The 17,677-nt window shown below is 43.0% G+C and overlaps 1 protein-coding gene across 16 annotated transcripts in view, besides 3 other annotated features; it reads left to right on the top strand.

The window, feature by feature from the left end:
* ARHGEF3 (Rho guanine nucleotide exchange factor 3) overlaps nucleotides 1–17,677 on the top strand; it is a 351,849-nt gene that overhangs the window by 181,203 nt on the left and 152,969 nt on the right. For all 16 annotated transcript variants that reach the window (NM_001377411.1, NM_001377410.1, XM_017006503.2 and 13 more), the window contains one exon: nucleotides 15,712–15,774. In NM_001377411.1, the coding sequence (NP_001364340.1) occupies nucleotides 15,712–15,774 (63 nt within the window). The remainder of the gene's footprint in view (nucleotides 1–15,711; nucleotides 15,775–17,677) is intronic.
* Nucleotides 2,611–2,905: a silencer, noted in NCBI's record as "tiled region #9226; K562 Repressive non-DNase unmatched - State 24:Quies". NCBI's record gives its function as "represses a minimal TATA promoter and a strong SV40 promoter by Sharpr-MPRA in K562 cells {active_cell/tissue: K562}" and the evidence as "EXISTENCE:reporter gene assay evidence [ECO:0000049][PMID:27701403]".
* Nucleotides 2,951–3,080: a silencer, noted in NCBI's record as "silent region_14474". NCBI's record gives its function as "represses an Ori minimal core promoter by ATAC-STARR-seq in GM12878 lymphoblastoid cells {active_cell/tissue: GM12878}" and the evidence as "EXISTENCE:reporter gene assay evidence [ECO:0000049][PMID:35858748]".
* Nucleotides 10,476–10,535: a silencer, noted in NCBI's record as "silent region_14473". NCBI's record gives its function as "represses an Ori minimal core promoter by ATAC-STARR-seq in GM12878 lymphoblastoid cells {active_cell/tissue: GM12878}" and the evidence as "EXISTENCE:reporter gene assay evidence [ECO:0000049][PMID:35858748]".

Raw genomic sequence — 17,677 nt, 5'->3', positions numbered from 1 at the left:
TCTACAAAAAATACAAAAATTAGCAGGGCGTGGTGGTGTGCACCTGTAGTCCCAGCTACTTGGGAGGCCAAGGTGGGAGAATCAGTTGGACCCAGAGGTCAAGGCTTCAGTGAGCTATGATGCCACCACTGCACTCCAGCATGAGCAACAGAACTGCGACCCTGTCTCAAAAATAAAAAATACATAAATAAATAAAAATAGGGCCGGGCATGGTGGCTCACGCCTGTAATCCCAACACTTTGGGAGGTCGAGGTGGGCAGATCACGAGGTCAAGAGATCGAGACCATCCTGGCTAACACGGTGAAAACCCATCTCTACTAAAAATACAAAAATTAGCTGGGCATGGTGGTGCATGCCTGTAGTCCCAGCTACTCGGGAGGCTGAGGCTGAGGCAGGAGAATTGCTTGAACCCAGGAGGTGAAGGTTGCAGTGAGCCGAGATCACACCACTGCACTCCAGCCTGGTGACAGAGGGAGACTCCATCTCAAAAAAAAAAAAAAGATACATATAGATAGATTGGAAATGAAAGCATCAGAATGAGTTCATGGTTATACATATATACATGCATGTTTTTTCCCTGTATCTACTGAGAGGGCCTAGAAGCAGTGGCACCCCCGTAGCAAAAACATAACTAGTGCCCAGATCTTGGCTTCTAAATACTCCTCCACTAAAGGGAACCAGAGTTCCTTGGAGAAAAGGCTGATTCCAGGACTGGGGCAGGGAGAATATAGGAAGATCTTGGAACATCTTTTTGTATCAAAAAGTAATGAAGTGCCCTAAGAATGATGGGCATGTGAACAAGCTGGACACAGGCACCAGGTTGTAGGGCTCTCCCTAGCCAAGTCTGGGACAATCTGAGCATCAAAATGAAAAATGATAGTAACGGATCATAACCCACTAAATAAAATTGGAATCCATAAGCCAACATGGATGTAAATAATAAATAAATGGTGGAGAATGGAAAGCTCTTCCCTCCAGTAGAAGAATAACTTATAAACATTGAAGGGATGATAGAGTTGAAAAATCGTCAGTGGACACTAAAACTAGTGTGTTAACATTTCATGAGGAAGAAGACACTTCCATATTTTCAATTTGCTGGTTACTTAAAAACAGAAAAATAGTAACTTTCCAGTAGAGAAATTTAGAAGATGCCACCTCAACTAAATAGTCTAAGCCAATGTCACCAATATTGGGCCAAACCAATGCCACATGTCTTCTGAGGTGATGTGCTAAGAAAGACTCTACATTGTCACTTCTGTCATATTCCTGTGAAAAATACACCACATGAAAAAAATATTCTCTTATTACTCTAGACATTTTTAGAATGTGCAACCTGAATCTAATCATGAAAAAACATCTAGTAAACCCTCAGGTAGGGAAATTATACAACGTAACTGGCCTGTCCTCTTCAAAATCATTAAAATCAAGAAACACAAAGAAAGCCTGGGGAACTGTTCCAGATTCAAGGAGACTCAAGAACACGTGACAGTAAATGCAATCAATGCAGGGCCTTCAGTTGGATTCTGGACCAGGAAAACCAATAGCTATGAAACATTTTATTGGAATAGTTGGCACCTTTTTAAAAAAAGTGGTGAACGAGTTGATACATTTTGTCAATGTTAAGTTTCCTGCTTTTGATAATAATTATCCTGTGTAAGAGGATGCCCTTGTTCTTAGGACATACACACTGAAGTATTTAGGGTCTAAAGGGACATAATGTCTGCAACTCATTCTCAAATAATTAGGAAGAAAAATATTTTATATTCATACGTATAGAAAGAGAGAGAGAGGGAGCAAATGAGGTCAGCTGTAGGCAGCCATGACACTGAGTAAAGGATTTTCAGGAGTATCTTATTCTGGACTTGCAAACCTTCTATAAGTTTGAAACTATATTAAAATAAACTTGCCAAAAATAAAATAAATTCTCAAATAAACTGCACACTCTGCCCTCCCCAAGAAAAAGGCCTGTGTTCCTTTGTTCCTCTTCAGGGAATCTAATATACTCTCACCACACAACTCCAGAGGGCATCAGGCCATTCGTGCTGCCGCCAGCTCTGCAGGATCTGCCAGCCCCCTGTGCCTGCAGGCCCTCATGCTGAGGCACAATTCCTAAGGCCTAAGAAGATAATTTCAGAATTATTTAATCAAAAATAGCTCTCTTCCAAACAAAACTGGAAACTCTTCCAAGAGGCTGGGTGTTTATCCTTAAAGATGCCCCTGTCTCTCAGTAGGAAAGAAACAACTGTAAGGAAAATAACTGCATAATAATGAATACTCTTTCCCTCAGAACGATGGACCTGAATGGCCGGGTGCGGTGGCTCATGCCTGTAATCCCAGCACTTTGGGAGGCCGAGGCAGGTGGATCACAAGGTCAGGAGATCAAGACCATCCTGGCTAACACAGTGAAACTCCATCTCTACTAAAAATACAAAAAATTAGCCCGGTGTGATGGCAGGCTCCTGTAGTCCCACCTGCTCGGGAGGCTGAGCCAGGAGAATGGCGTGAACCCAGGAGGCGGAGCTTGCAGTGAGCCAAGATAGCGCCACTGCACTCCAACCTGGGTGGCAGAACAAGACTCCATCTCAAAAAAAAATAAATAAATAAATAAATAAGAACAATGGACCTGAATATGCCAACACAGCCTCTTTCTGTATGTCCGCACTGGAGGCAACTGGAGCCTCGGGAGCAGCCATGGACCATTTCTATGACAAAGGCCCCTCTCTCTGCCCAGCTAGAGCTCATTCAGCACAGGGGAGGCCACCAGTCTTTCAGAGTAGTCATGACTAACTCGGGAATAATGCTCTTGGCGATAGTCCGTAGAGAATCTGTCAGAACAATAACGTGAAAGCCAGTTCCCATTTCTGATGCAGCGCCTGGAAAGAAGTCAGCTGCGATTAGAGGGACATTTTCTTCCTGCAGCTGTCTTTGAAAGTGGAGGAGGGGTTCACCACAACCCCAAATTACAGGGAGGGAGGGAGGGAGGTAGAGGGCCCCTAAACACCAGGGACATGCAGGTATTCAGGGTACGCCTTCTTTAGTGACACTGTCATGTTCTGTCAAGTTCTGAGTAAAAAGCAAAAGTTGTGGTGAGCCACAAATGGGCTGCAGGGATGGGGGAAAGTACTTTGGGCTAAATTTTCTAATCCGGAGTCTTTGCTTCAAAGTTCATCCCAATCACTTTTATCCTGAAGTCTGAAACGGAGACCTGGCGTTTGCAGAATCAAAGCATGTTTATCCAGCATTTAATCCATTTCCCAGGAAATCAGTGTTTTACCAAGAGTGGAATTCTTTTTTAGGACTTTCGTGGACATTTCTAAGGCCTAACCCAGCATACAGAGAATGTTCAACTACTGCTATATGTGAACAAATGAACCCATTTGCCCATAAAATGGCAAATCCATAGAATTTTTTTAAAATTTTTTATAATTAAAAAAGAGAGAAAGAGATAGGGTCTTGCCACGTCACCCAGGCTGGTCTCAAACTCCTGGGTTCAAGCAGTCCTCCCTGCTTGGCCTCCCAAAGTGCTGAGATTACAGGCTTGAGCCACAAAACCTGGCCTAAACTTTCTTTTCAGGAGAACTAAAATGCCAAGAAATACAGTACATAAAATATCATTTTTTATTCTGGGGCCCACAATATTTCTGAATTTTGACAATAGAAACACAGGAACAGTAGGATACTCAGATAAATTAATTTCACTATTTAGTTTCATTCATTCAACAATATTTTATTAAGCATCTACCATGTGTCAGACACTGTGCAAATGCCGTAGATACATTGGTTAACAAAAGAGATGCAGTGTCTGTTCTCAGAAAGAACACAGTTGAGCGGACCCAGGTGATTCCAGTGTACAAGACTGAGCTCATACCTCAGAGTTGTCCCACCAAACTGTCAGAAGCTGGATTATTTATCTGCCAGCCCCAGTCCCTCATAGATTGAAAGCTGATCCCAGTGGCATTAATTCTCCGGCATTTCTGGCCTGTGGAAAGCTGATTTGTGTGCTTTCCACACGGTGTGCAGGGAAATGGTGATTGCCCAGGGGTTGTCAGCCGGCTGTATCTGCTACACGAGTGACCGGTTCTGATACTCCTAGAGCAGCCTTAGTCAAGTCATTTAAACTCTTTAAGTCTCAGTTTCCTTATATGTAATAACTTCTTTGTACAGCTGTAAGGATTGGTTATAATACATGTAAAGCACCCAGCAAGGCAGTGGATTTTTTTTTTTTTTTTTTTTTTTTTTTTTTTTTTTTTTTTTGAGACAGAGTCTTGTTCTTGCTCTGTCACCCAGGCTGGAGTGCAGTGGTGCGATCTCGGCTCACTGCAACCCCTGCTTCCCAGGCTCAAGTGATTCTCCTGCCTCAGCCTCCAGAGTAGCTGGGTCTACAGGGGCACACCACCATGCCGGGCTAATTTTTGTATTTTTAGTAGAGACGGGGTTTCACCATGTTGGTCAGGCTGGTCTTGAACTCCTGACCTCAGGTGATCCGCCCGTCTCAGACTCCCAAAGTGCTGAGATTACAGGCATGAGCCACTGTGCCATGCTGGCAGTGGATTCTTAATAGACAGTTGTTATAAAGCCCAGCAAAGGGGTTGGGCGTGGTGGCTCATGCCTGTAATCCCAGCACTTGGGCAGGCCAAGGCAGGAGGATCACTTGAGCCCAAGAGTTCAAGACTAGCCTAGGCAACAAAAACAGATCCTATCTCTACATAACAGTAAAATAATTAGCTGGACACAGTGGCACATGCCTGTAATCCTAGCTACTTGGGAGGCTAAGGTGGGAGGATCCCTTGAGCTCAGGAGTTCGAGGCTGCAGTGAGCTGTGATCATGTCATTGCACTTCAGCCTGGGTGGCAGAGTGAGACCCTATCTCTAAAAAAATAAAATAAAATAAAAAATCCCAGCAAAGGGAAGGGACTACCTTAAGCAGCCAGAATATACAATAAAGAAATGGAATTTTGGCAACTGAAGTTGTGAGTTTTTATATGGTAGACAACACCAAATGGTTGTACAAGGGAACCTTTTGTTTATTTAAAGGAATGTCCTTTAGAGGACAGCTTGACAAGAGCAGCCCGTTTCTCTACCATTTTTCATCTCTGCTTTGTGCGGCAAATTGCCCCAAGGAGTAGGTGTTCCAGACACCAGTGATTGAAAGGGAGCTTTGCACTGTGCTCTCCCTAGGGTTAAAGGCCTGCCCGTTGGCATTTGGGGAACTGTTCATGAACCCATGGGGTGTTGTGGCTGATAAGACATTACCAGAACCAGGAGCATTTCTAGGTAGGAGAAAGCGGGAACACGAGCCAAGTGAACGAAAAACTGACAACTGTCTTTGTAAATTCAGGTTCCCAGTATTATTGTGGATGATGAGCACTTTGAATTTGAATTATGCAGTTGGACAATCTAAGCTGATTGTTTACATGGAGTAGTTTTCTAGAAATTAAACAATGATTTGGACATTCCCTAAACTGCATATATATAGATAATATTTTTTGTTGATAATGGCTTCAAATCATTGCATCAGTGAAGAATTTTAATAAGTAGGATTTTGTTATAGTGTTTAAAAAATAAGTGAATAAACATATAAAGGAGGGCCAAGGAAGCACCATAGCATATTATGAACCAAGGATTGCAGTGAGTCCAATCTGGTGTACCTGAGAACCAGTAGAAAATAATAATTACAGTAATTTAGAAGGCCTAGTAAAAGTGCTCTGGTTAATGCAATTTTGTGCTTTGCGTCACATCCACTGTTGAAAATCCTTGTGAATATGGACTCCTTCTCCCACCTTAGATCGATGCCCGTATTTTTTTTTTCTGGGACAATTTTTCTGGAAAATATATTTGGCAGCCCTCTATCCTGGATAGATGAGTTTTCTGTCTTTTCTCCTGCTCCCCTGGCCTTGAGTGTTTTGGAGGGAAAAGCAGTTTGTAAATGTTTGTTGAATGACAGAGTGAATCCTGCTGCTTGTTAGCCATCAGGGTTGGTGGTGGCACTGTCAGGCTGGCTAGGTCTCCTCCCTCCTCCCACTTGTTTGGTTGGACATGTCTTCCCTCCCGTGGGAGAAGAGGATCTTTCCTTGGCTAAGACTGTCTCATCTGTACCTCCAAACAAGTTAAGGGCCAGGTGTTCCATGGCTAAGATCATATAATAGGGGCTTTTCCTAGTTTGCCAACGTCAAATTAATGAGTAGACTTTTAGACATTTTAAGTATTTTCCCCATGATTTTCCCCCCGGTGCCTGTACTTACTTGCTGTTACTGCTGCTGTTGCTACTATTACCATTAATAGTTAATATTTGAGTAGTTGCTGAGGGCCACGCATTGTGCTAAGCTCTTTACCCACACTGATCTATTTAACTTTCACAGTAACCTTAGGAGGGAGGTACTATTCGTGTCCCCATTTTATAGGTGAGGAAACTAAGGTGCAGAGAGGTAAAATGATGCGCTTAAGGTTCCACAACAAATAAATGGCTTAACTAAGATGTAAACTCACAAACACTGACTTTAGAGTCTACCTAACATCTTCAACCTATAGTTAGTGGTATCTGAGCACATAATTGCATATTATATTTGTTAAAATTTAGTTCCCCGTAGCTCTGAAAACATCATGATTTCCCATTTCTCCACCCTGTCAGCACACTGAAGACAGCCTAGAAAAAAGGACTGGGGTTCCTGGATCCTAGAAAAAGGAGGATGTTTTAAAAATAAGGAAAAGGAAAAAAAAAAAAAAAGCAGTGTACTAAAAATGGAGTAGGGGCCAGGCACGGTGGGTCACACCTGTAATCCCAGCACATTGGGAGGTGGAGGCGAGAGGATTGCTTGAGCTCAGAAGTTTGAGACCAGCCTGCAAGACATAGGGAGATCTCGTCTCTATTTTTTTTTTTTTTTTTTACTTTTTAAAAATGGAGTTGGTGCTCCTTCTTTCAATTCTCTCATTCACTTCTGGAGCTTCAGACTGGAGAAGAACAAAATGTGGATCCTCTCCCTGCTAAAACGTGAATTTAGCAAGTCAAGTTCCAGCTAAGGGCAAGTACAAGAACACAAAATCCTTTTGCTAATCTTTCCGCAAAGAAAGAGCAGATGAAAGGCAAGGCATCAAAGCCTCTGAAACCACCAAAGTTGTTTGCCAGCAAAGAGATAAATCAAAAAGGTTCGAGATCTGGTTTGAATTTAATAATTACAAATGACTAATCAGGGACTATTTGCTGCCAAGTCAGGAGCTGCACTCTCTCAATCAGTACGTTTTTGCTGCTCTGGTCACCTGGTTATTAAATAGAAAAGCCCAGTGATTAAATAACAGGGTTGTTCTGACACTAATCAGTTCAATCTTGGCCATTTAAAATTAAGTCAGGCTTGCAGTAGCCCTTGTCTCTGTGAAAGAAGTGGGAACGACACAGTGCAAATGTGACTGAAGGTATCCTGAGAGTGTTTGTGGATAGTCCTCTGGGACCTGGGTAGTTAGAAAGAGTCAGGCAGCGTACCAGGTCTCCTGCCCATCATTCTGCAGGATCCTGCCATCTCTAATACCCTCCCTGCCTGACTCTCAACATCAAATAACAACAAAATAATTATGCCAGCAGTGACAGCAGTAGTAATAGTAATTACGGTAATAACCGCAGTAGCAATAATAATTACATTTTTCAAATCTCTTGCCATATGTCTGGCTCTGTTCGAAATATTTTATTTCTTTTAATACTTGAAATAACCCCATGATGGAGAAAACCAAAGCTTATAGAACTGCTTTATAGACACTGACGTATCCCATACACTTAGAACCTGCCTGGCACATAGTAAATGCTCAGTAAATATTTGTTGAGTGAATGAAGGAATAGAGAAGTAATTTGCCCAAGGTCACACCAAGTAGCAAAGGTGGAGCTGCATTTTGAACTGTCTCATTTATGCTCTTAGTTTCTTTGAGGTATGTAGGTAAATGCCTTGTGGGTCTTTTTATATTGTTTTAAAACACATATGATTTTAAACAATTATTTATGTATTTATTTATTTATTTATTGAGAAGGAGTCTTGCTCTGTCACCCAGGCTGGAGTGCAGTGGTGCGACCTTGGCTCACTGCAGCCTCTGCCTCCTGGGTTCCAGCGATTCTCCTGCCTCAGCCTTCTGGATAGCTATGATTACAGGCGCACGCTACCACGCTCAGCTAATTTTTGTATTTTTAGTAGAGATGAGGTTTCACCATGTTGGCCAGGCTGGTCTCAAACTCCTGACCTCAGGTGATCCGCCCATCTCGGCCTCCCAAAGTGCTGGGATTACAAGCATGAGCCACTGCGCCCAGCCATGAAACAAATATTTAAATGTATTTTACCTTATTTGTATGTATTAATTTAAAGGAAACGCAGATTGTTTTTAAACAATGTACAAAGAGAAATAGCATCATATGCAGAGAGGTCAGTGGTTTGGCAGTCAGGGTGGCCTCCAGAAAATCCTCTCTCCAGCACTCACTCACTTTGTGACCTTGAGCAAGTTACTAAAACCTTCCTGAGCTTCAGCGTTCCTCTCTGTTAAAATGAACACCACAAGGCTTACTTAAACCGGGCTGAGGAGAAGCTTAAATGGCACAATCCATTAAACTGAGAGCATAGTCCTTGGCTCATAGTAGGTGCCCAATTCCAGCGTCTGTTTCCCTCCACTTTTGTATTGGAAGGCACCTGGTGATTTTCTCAAAACCTCAAAGGAGGTCTGGAGAGGATGGAAGTTAAGCCAGGTAAGGACACGCTATTCAGGCTTGGACCACGGCCAGCTCTTCTGAGAATCTGTTGTCGGGTAAGGATAGGATCAGTGCTTTTCACAGAGAATCTTCCCCAGGACAACCGAAAAGGCAGTTTGTTCATGGGTTATTTACCGATGAGATTCAGATGTCTGCCTTGTGATATCAGAAGGTAGCCAACCCTAAAAAGAGATAGCCACAGAGTGTCCTGGAAACAATAATGTTTGTGAAAGTGGGTCGAAAGGTTCAGGTGAAGGTCAAGCTAGCAGGATCTCTCAAGCAGAGGCAGTAACGAGTCTCTGGCAATGTTCACTTGATCCTTCCAGGAATACCCATATCTCCATGAGACCTCCCATTGGAATATGCACAGGACTTTGCTCTATTGCAAATTAGCAAAGGGACCCCCTGGTCATTTTTGTTTTTTGTTTTTGTTTTTGTTTTTTTTTGAGATGGAGTTTCGTTCTTATTGCCCAGGCTGGAGTGCAATGGTGCGATCTCGGCTCACCGCAACCTCCGTCTCCCAGGTTCAAGCGATTCTCCTGCCTCAGCCTCCCAAGTAGCTGAGATTACAGGTGCACACAATCATGCCCAGCTAATTTTTACATTTTTAGTAGAGACGGGGTTTCACCATATTGGCCAGGCTGGTCTGGAACTCCTGACCGCAGGTGATCCAACTGCCTCGGCCTCCCAATGTGCTGGAATTACAGGCGTGAGCCACCATGCCTGGCCCCTGGTTGCTTTTTTAAGAAGCAGTGGTAGGGTTTTTTCAGCACTTGAGCACTTCTAGAAAGTGGTCTATAGCAAATATATAACCTGCAGGGCTAAGGACTTAGAGACTACATGCAGGTCTATTGTGCCCACAAATTCTCCTCTGTAACTGCCTTTCTCCCCACCCCCATATAGGCACGTGGCATTGAGACAAAGGGGTCAGGTGCCCATTAAGTTCATTTAGGGTTTGGTTCAGCTGGATGTTCCCTTTCCATCTGAGGTGTTATCAATCTTGGATTACTTGCTCTTAAAGCACAGAGACTGAGTCCCCAGACTGTCGCCCAGGGCAGTACATGGATAGATTCGTTGGTCAGGGATGTGCCTCACCCTTGAACAGATCTGACATTCCTTTTCGTAGGAGTGGAAATGGCCAATGTCCCACTTGGACCAATGTCTAAACAACTGTAATTTCTTTTAACATGTCTGTGCATTTTAAGGAAAATAAATGCCCCTGCTGGTAAGAAAAAAAAAAAAAAAAGCTCTTATTTGAAAAACAAGAATCTTAGCTTGAATGGGCAGGTTTTTTCTCCAAGGAGATTTGAGGTTGAAGAATTTAAGCCTTCAATGACCTTCACTTTTGAGGTTTTTGATTTAATTTTGGCTGCCCTTTTGCCACCAGGTGGTTAATGAAAGGGAAAGGTGTCACCTCAAAAACACTGGCCTCCTTTATTCATTCTTTCTTTTAGTCACCCATTTAGAAATTATTCACTGACCTACTGCTCAGCACAGGGCACTGAGGGGTTAAAGTTATGTGCTGAAATCAGAGTGCAGAGACTACAGCACAATTATTGGGCTCACCGAAGGTGCTTTGTTTTCATGGTTGAAAGGGAAGTGGACTGTGCCTTTGCTTCAGTAAATTTGACAAGAATAACAGGGTGGGTCCTTGGCTCCTCAAATTGGCTGGGAACCTGTCAGACCAAGTGTGCAAATGCACAGTTCACACACAGTGCCCTTCCTGCCTGGGAACGCCCCCAGGTAACTGATCAGTGGTTTTTTATGCAGAGGAAGTAAAATGGCATTTTTTACTTCCTGTGGGCAATTCATAACAGGAGCTGCCACTTACTGTGCACTTACTATGTGCCAGGTCTTGTCACCCAACATCTATGATCCTCACAACACCCTAACCTGGAAGGCATTATTTCTACTCTACAGATAACATCCCAGAGTCTCAGCCTCCTCCTGATACCTCCCAAGATCCCAGGTATAATACTGTAGCCTCCCAAGGCAGGAGAAGCAGAACTCAAGAAGGAAATGGGGTTATTCTAGGCAGCGGGACGCCCTTGCTGCTGTGCCCCAATTCGTTCCCCAGCACATGTTGCTAATTGTGATCACAGCATTCTCTGGCTTGCTATGCTGTGCAGTCCTTCTCAATACAGTGCTCCAAACAAACACTACCAGACATTCTGGATGGCAAGTGAGACGTAACCTATTTGCCACCAGTGCTTGCCACCAATGCCTGCTACCTGATAGCAGACACTGATAGCTCTTAAAACTAGAAAGGACCACAAAATTGATTTGGTCTAGACAGTGTGTGCTGTGGTCTTGAAGACCAGTCTCTCTAGTAGAATAAAGGTTATTTTCTTGCCATATTCCTCATGCTCAACACCTTCCTAGACCTTCTGTGCAGGTCTGATGTGCCATCCCAGACTCTGGGACGGGACAGCATGGTGGGGAAGCACATAGTTTGAAGTAGGAAAGACCTGGATTTGAATCCAGGCTCTGCCACTTGCTAATCATGAAACCCTGGACAAATTCCTGCCCCTTTTTGAGCCTTCATCTCCTACTCTGTAGAATGGAGATGATAACCATTATCCACCTACCTCATGGGGTAGTTATGAGGATCAAATGAGATCATGCATATAAGGATTTAGCTCTGTGCCTGACATGTAGTGAGCGTTCAATAGGCTAAAGCTTTCATTATTATCAGTGTGAATTATTAGTAGTAGTAGCTCCAGTGAAGTTCAAAGTGAGTGCCGTGTCCTGTTGCACTCTCTGCTTTCTGAGATGCTCATTTGTTTATGTTTCCGTGGCTTATTTCCAACTGGTGATTTCTTCCATGAGCTACTCTGTAGATCACTGGCATGAGGTCAACACCCCAATATTCTAGAAATCCCAGTTCCTGGGTAGAGCGTGAAATGTCTTTATGTGGTGTTTCCATCTGTACGCCCTTCTTCACCAGGTCCTTTCTGTTCTCTCTTCCTGTGGCCCTCTCGAGTTGGGCAATTAGTGAAGAAGACAAGCAAAGGGAGGAGGACCAAGAGGATCAACAAAATCCAGAAATCCTATTTTAAGGGAAGCTGGCTGTGTACCAGGGATTGTCCCAGGCTCTGGGACTGTGAGCATGACTGACCAAGTCCTGCCTTCATGGGCTTATGTCTCATGAAAAGGTCAACCAAAACCCAGAAAACAATTAAATAAAATTATCTTTCTAAAATGGGTCTGCCCTGCTAGCCTCTGTCTTAGCACCTTATCTGACTCATTCATGACAGAGATCACAATCTGTAATTACTTTGTTTTATTTTTACTCCAAACTAGTGGGCAGGGAACATGCCTGGCTCATTCACTGCTATATCCAAGGACCCAGAATGGGGTTTTGCGTGTCAAAAGTGCTCAGTGAACACAGAGCAAATGAACAAGTGACTTAGTGATGGTTTGTGAAATTTTCGTTCTGAGCCCAGAGTTTAAACTTCAGGCTACTTTTTTGTTGCTGGCAGTGGTCAGTCACCTCCCTATGTAAGAAAATTGAAAAGAAAATTCATTTTCATAATTCATGCAGTTTTTATTTTATAAAACATGTGGGTTCCTTAAGGAGATCATTCTATCCCAGATTGACTGTCTATGGCTGAATTAAAAAGACCATTGGAGGCCATTTGTCTTCTGGATTTGACACTTGGAGCAGGTGGCAGTATCTGGCAGGAACTGGGTTGGGGGAACTCATGAGGCTTGGCTCCAAAGCTGGGTAGTGTGTTGAATTGGTCTGGAGAGGGCTGCATGCCTGTGAGGAGAGGAGCTTCTCTTATTATTCACTTTCCTGCATCAATGTGCATCTAGGCTACTGTCAACATGTCAGGTTGACAAAATCATTGAGCTCAAGGAATGGAACTGTAGCACCATAAAACTCAATAATCTGGTAATACCAGGTTGCAGCATGTATCGGTGTAGCCTATGGTCTGGGCAATTCATAACAGGAGCTGCCACTTACTGTGCACCTACTATGTGCCAGGTCTTGTCGCCCAACATCTATGATCCTCACAACACCCTAACCTGGAAGGCATTATTTCTACTCTACAGATAACATCCCAGAGTCTCAACCTCCTCCTGATACCTCCCAAGATCTCAGGTATAATACTGTAGCCTCCCAAGGCAGGAGAAGCAGAACTCAAGAAGGGCATGGGGTTACTCTAGGCAGCAGGACGCCCATGCTGCCATGCCCCAATTCATTGCCCAGCACGTGTTGCTGATTGTGATCACAGCATTCTCTGGCTTGCTATGCTGTGCAGTCCTTCTCAGTACAGTGCTCCAAGCAGACACTACCAGACATTCTGGATGGCAAGTGAGATGTAACCTATTTGCCACCAACCTTTGAACAGTGTATGTAAAAGGCTTTGCCCTAGGAATTAGAATCCTGGATTCAGAGTGTTACGCTGTAACCATGTAACTTTGAGCAAATTGCTTCTCTCTCCTGACCTCAGTTTATTAACCTGTAGGATGGAAATTATCCCATACCATATCTGGCTCAAAAAGTCACCATATAAATATAAGCTGGTGAATTGGTTTCACTGGCACTGAAGTGCTGTTTTTAATTGTACCTGGATGGTGAATCAGTAAGGATCAGGGCCCTGTACAAACGTGAAGCATCCTCAAAAACGGCAGCTGTGCCCGGAGTTGTGATCAGCATCTTCTCGAGGCTTCCCTCAAGGACGCTGAGTGGAGTATTTGACTTCCTAAAAGTCACTGGGTGAGCTTGTTAATCCAGATTCCTGGGCACCCTCCCAAATGGCTGATTAAGCATTCCTGGGGATGGCTCCTGGCATCAGCATCTCTGAATCATTCCTCAGGTGATTCTGCTGCACGCTGCACCACTGTTTCAGTGGAAAAATGTATATATGTAGAACGCCACTGCTCTGTATAGGACCATATTGACCTTTGGAATTTTAAATATCTAGGTAGCTGCTTAACAAAAAGAGCCCCAATATCTTCCCCATCTGTGTCTGACAAACTCTTATTCATCTTTTAGGCCTATTCAAATGCCTCCTCCTCTGGGAAGACCTCCCTCACAGTCCTCCCAGAGCCCTCCAACCCATGTTTTGAGCACCTACTGTGTACTAGGCACTCTACTAAGCTCTAAAATGCATTACTATATTTACTCCTCTTCCTTTGAGAATAGAAGCTAATGCCATCATCACCACCTCTGCTCACACCTTAGAGTTGAGAAAAGGTGGCTCAGAGAAGCAAAGTGACTTTCTCTAGGATGTTTGGCTCTTATTGCATTATAGTTCATCATAATAGGCCTGTCTCTCCTACATGAGTGTGAGGTCCTTAACCATGAGAATTGCTGACCTTTGCATTTCTGGGAGTGAACACAGGGCCCAGCACATAGTAAATGCTCAACAAACCTTTGTTAAATTGAAGTGAAAAAAATAATAGAACAACTATAGTAATATAAAAAAGAGTAGTTCTGTTTGCTTTCCAGTCTCTGCCTTTGTTCAAGCTCAGGGTTCCACTAGAGGAGGAGGCTGACTTCTTTTGGGACTGAAGACTACAGATGTCTTCAGACTCTCCTGTAACCCCATGCTGGTGATTCTGGTCTTCTGGTAGCTTTCTTCTAAGTAACATCAGAAGACCTAGCAAGTCACAGGTTAGGGACTGAAGAAACACTTGACTGATTGGTTGAGCTGGGGGTGCAGAAGAGAGGTGAATGTATCTTTGATGAGCTTTATTGTGGCTTATAGATTACATTTATTTTCTTCTAATGAAAAGAAAAAGGCCAGGCTCAATGGTTCACTCCTGTAATCCCAGCATTTTGGGAGGCCAAGGCAGGAGGATCACTTGAGCCCAGGAGTTTGAGACCAGCCTGGGCAACATGGCAAGACCCCCTCTCTACAAAAACTAAAATTAGCCCAGTGTGGTGGTGTGCTCCTGTGGTCCCAGCTACTTGGGAGGCTGAGGCAAGAGAATTCCTTGAGTCTAAGAGGTCAAGGCTGCAGTGAGCTGTGTTCACACCACTGCACTCCAGCCTAGGCAACAGAGGGAGACCCTGTCTCAAAAAAAAAAAAAAAGAAAAACATACTTTTTCACATCTAACTTGGCAGACTGCCCTGGTCATAAATGTACAAATTTATTTCAAATACAGTTATCTTCAGTCCAACTAATAACTTTTTAAAAATCATATGGCTATAAAGCAGGAAAGTTGGAGAAGATGTTTAAGTTTCTTTCCAACATTAGGGTTCTGTGATTACATTAGGACCCTGGATAAGGTTTAGAGCAAGTTTAAATTACTTAAGTACAAAGCACCTCTAAAAATGGAATATCTTCAAGTGAATTAGATTTTCTTTCCAATCTAATCTCCTCTTCCAAGTTAGTCAGAATCTGAACTTTGTATCTAAATTTCTAAGCCTTGATATATGGAGACATTTAGAAAAAAATGAAACTCAAAGAGAAACAAACTGTGACAGCAAGCATAAGAATAGTAACACAAACCAATTATCCTAGAGCTTAATAGTTTCTCATAACTTCTTAGGCTTTCTTAGAAGTGTTCATTTATAGGCTGGGCGCAGTGGCTCATGCCTGTAATCCCAGCACTTTGGGAGGCTGAGGAGGGCGGATCACGAGGTCAGGAGTTCGAGACCAGCCTGACCAACATGGTGAAACCCTGTCTCTATTAAAAATACAAAAATTAGCCAGGCGTGGTGGCGTGTGCCTATAATCCCAGCTACTCAGGAGGCTGAGGCAGGAGAATCGCTTGAACCGAGGAGGCAGAGGTTGCAGTGAGCCAAGATCAGACCACCGCACCGCACCCCAGCCTGGGCGACAGAGTGAGACTCTGTCTCAAAAAAAAAAAAAAAAAAAAAAAGAAGTGTTCATTTACATAGCTTGGTTAAAGGTTTTGGGTACCATGGTAGAAATGATAAGGATTGCATGTGCTATTTGATTGCTTTTTTTCTTGCCTTAATCAAAGCCATAACCCCTACTTACCTTTGAACTTTGTTTTTTCGTTTGTTTTGCAGCGAAAACGGAAACAGAGCACCCAAGATGAAGATGCTGTTAGCCTTTGCAGTCTCGACATAAGTGTAAGTATAGTCCTTTCTTCCCCCACTGGCACCGAGAGCATCTCTCTTCTCCGAAGGTTATTTGTTAATAATATGCTGTGTGCTTGAAGTGGGCTTCCAGGATCTGACTATGGAAGTTGTGACCTGGGGGAAATTTTTTTTAACTGAAAAACATTTTATTTCACTGGAGAAAACTGTGTGGCCAACTTAAACTTCCAAGCTAAGTTGTTTATTGCCTGTGTCTTTTCTCTCATAAAATGAATTATGAACTCAGTGCATCTGGGTAGAATCTAGATAAATACCAGTGTACTCTTTTAGAGGCTGGTTCCAGAAGATGGAACAGATGTTTGTCCCCCTTTGGGGGAAAGTTAGTGGCTTGGCCCAGCTCAGGCAGCCGGATGGCCCAAAGGCCAGAATAAGACTCCAGAAGCATAGTGGAGTGAGTGGCTTTGGATCAGCAGATCTTAGTTTGAATCAAGATTCTGTACTTACCATCTGTGTGACACCTTTCCTTACCAGTTTCCTCATCTGGAAAATAGGAATGAAAAGACTTAACCTGACAAAATTTGGGAGGGGGTCAAATAAAACAATAAAAGTGAGAATATTAAACACATTGCCTGTACATACTGGGCACCCACCAAATATTTGCCTCATTTTTTTTTTCTTTTTAAATCAGAAGTTTGTAGAAGATGCTCAAGTGTCTTGGTAGTTGACTATTGGTGATGATCAAGGTGGAAAAGCTTCCTTGGCTTTGTTTCAGAACATGTCCTTGGATACTTAATTTCATAGCTTTCTTTGTGTGGCCACCGTGTCTCCCCACTGATGCAATTGGGAAGCCTACCTTGGCCTCTGATGCCCTCATTATCCTGGGGCTTGGGGGTGGAGTAGGAATTCAGGCCCTCCCTGGGCTCCCCTTGTCAGTTCATCATCTGCACATCCCTGGGGTTTAACCACTGTGTTCTGTGGATCCGTCTAACATTAGGCCGTGCTCGCTCTCCTCTGTGGAGACCATGAAAGCTACTCTTATGAGATGAGAAGCCTTCCATGCTAGGAATAAAGAACTGAGTCATGGTTCTGGCTCTACCTATAATTAACAGTGTACCTTGGACGAGTCACTTCCTTTCTCTGAACTTCTGTTTCTTCTTTTGTTAAAAAAGAAAAAGAAAAAATGTTTGGGATCAGCCCTTCTAAAACCATTGTGAAAAGGAAACTCATTAGATATGGATTGTTAGGTACTCAACTGATAACATTATTTACCAATGTGAACAATTTTTTTTAGCTATTTTTAATTACTGCAGAGTTTTCTGTGATGCAACCAGCCATGATGGAGCGAGCTTGAACTGGCTCTAATTAATGTACTTGAGCGTCTGTTTTACCATGTGGTGTTTGTTTGTTCCAATCTTTAGACCCTCAGATTGATGGAGTTGGGCCAGTTTACTAAGTTGCCGTGGTGAACAGGACAAAAAGATGATGTTCCTTTGGGTTTTACTTTACTCATTGAATATTTTGTTATTGACAAGTGAAGTCTATGGAATTTCTCTTAGCAGCAAGATTTTTTTGTGTGTTTGAATCTTTTTAATTTTATGGAAGTTTACTTTTAGAATTTAAAGATTTTCAGAATTTAAAGACTGTCAGAATTTACAGAGCCCTTAGCCACCATGTATGTATTCCAGTCCCCTCACTTTGCAAATAAAGAAGTGGAAGCCCTGGAGGTGTAATGACTCAGGCAAGACTTCAATCCAGGTCACTTCTAAGATTATGCCTTGTCTTACATTTTCCCCCAAGTATATATTGATATCCATTTTTCAGGAAAGCATGTCTCTAGATGCTTTCTATCGAAGAACCACTAACATTGTATTAAAGGACTATTTACAATTATGAATTGTGATTTGATTTTTGTCTTGTTTGTCATCAATGGCCTTGA

The sequence above is a fragment of the Homo sapiens genome, chromosome 3 (assembly GCF_000001405.40).
Source record: "Homo sapiens chromosome 3, GRCh38.p14 Primary Assembly".
Lineage (NCBI taxonomy): Eukaryota > Metazoa > Chordata > Mammalia > Primates > Hominidae > Homo > Homo sapiens.
This window is presented reverse-complemented; position numbering and strand designations above follow the sequence as displayed.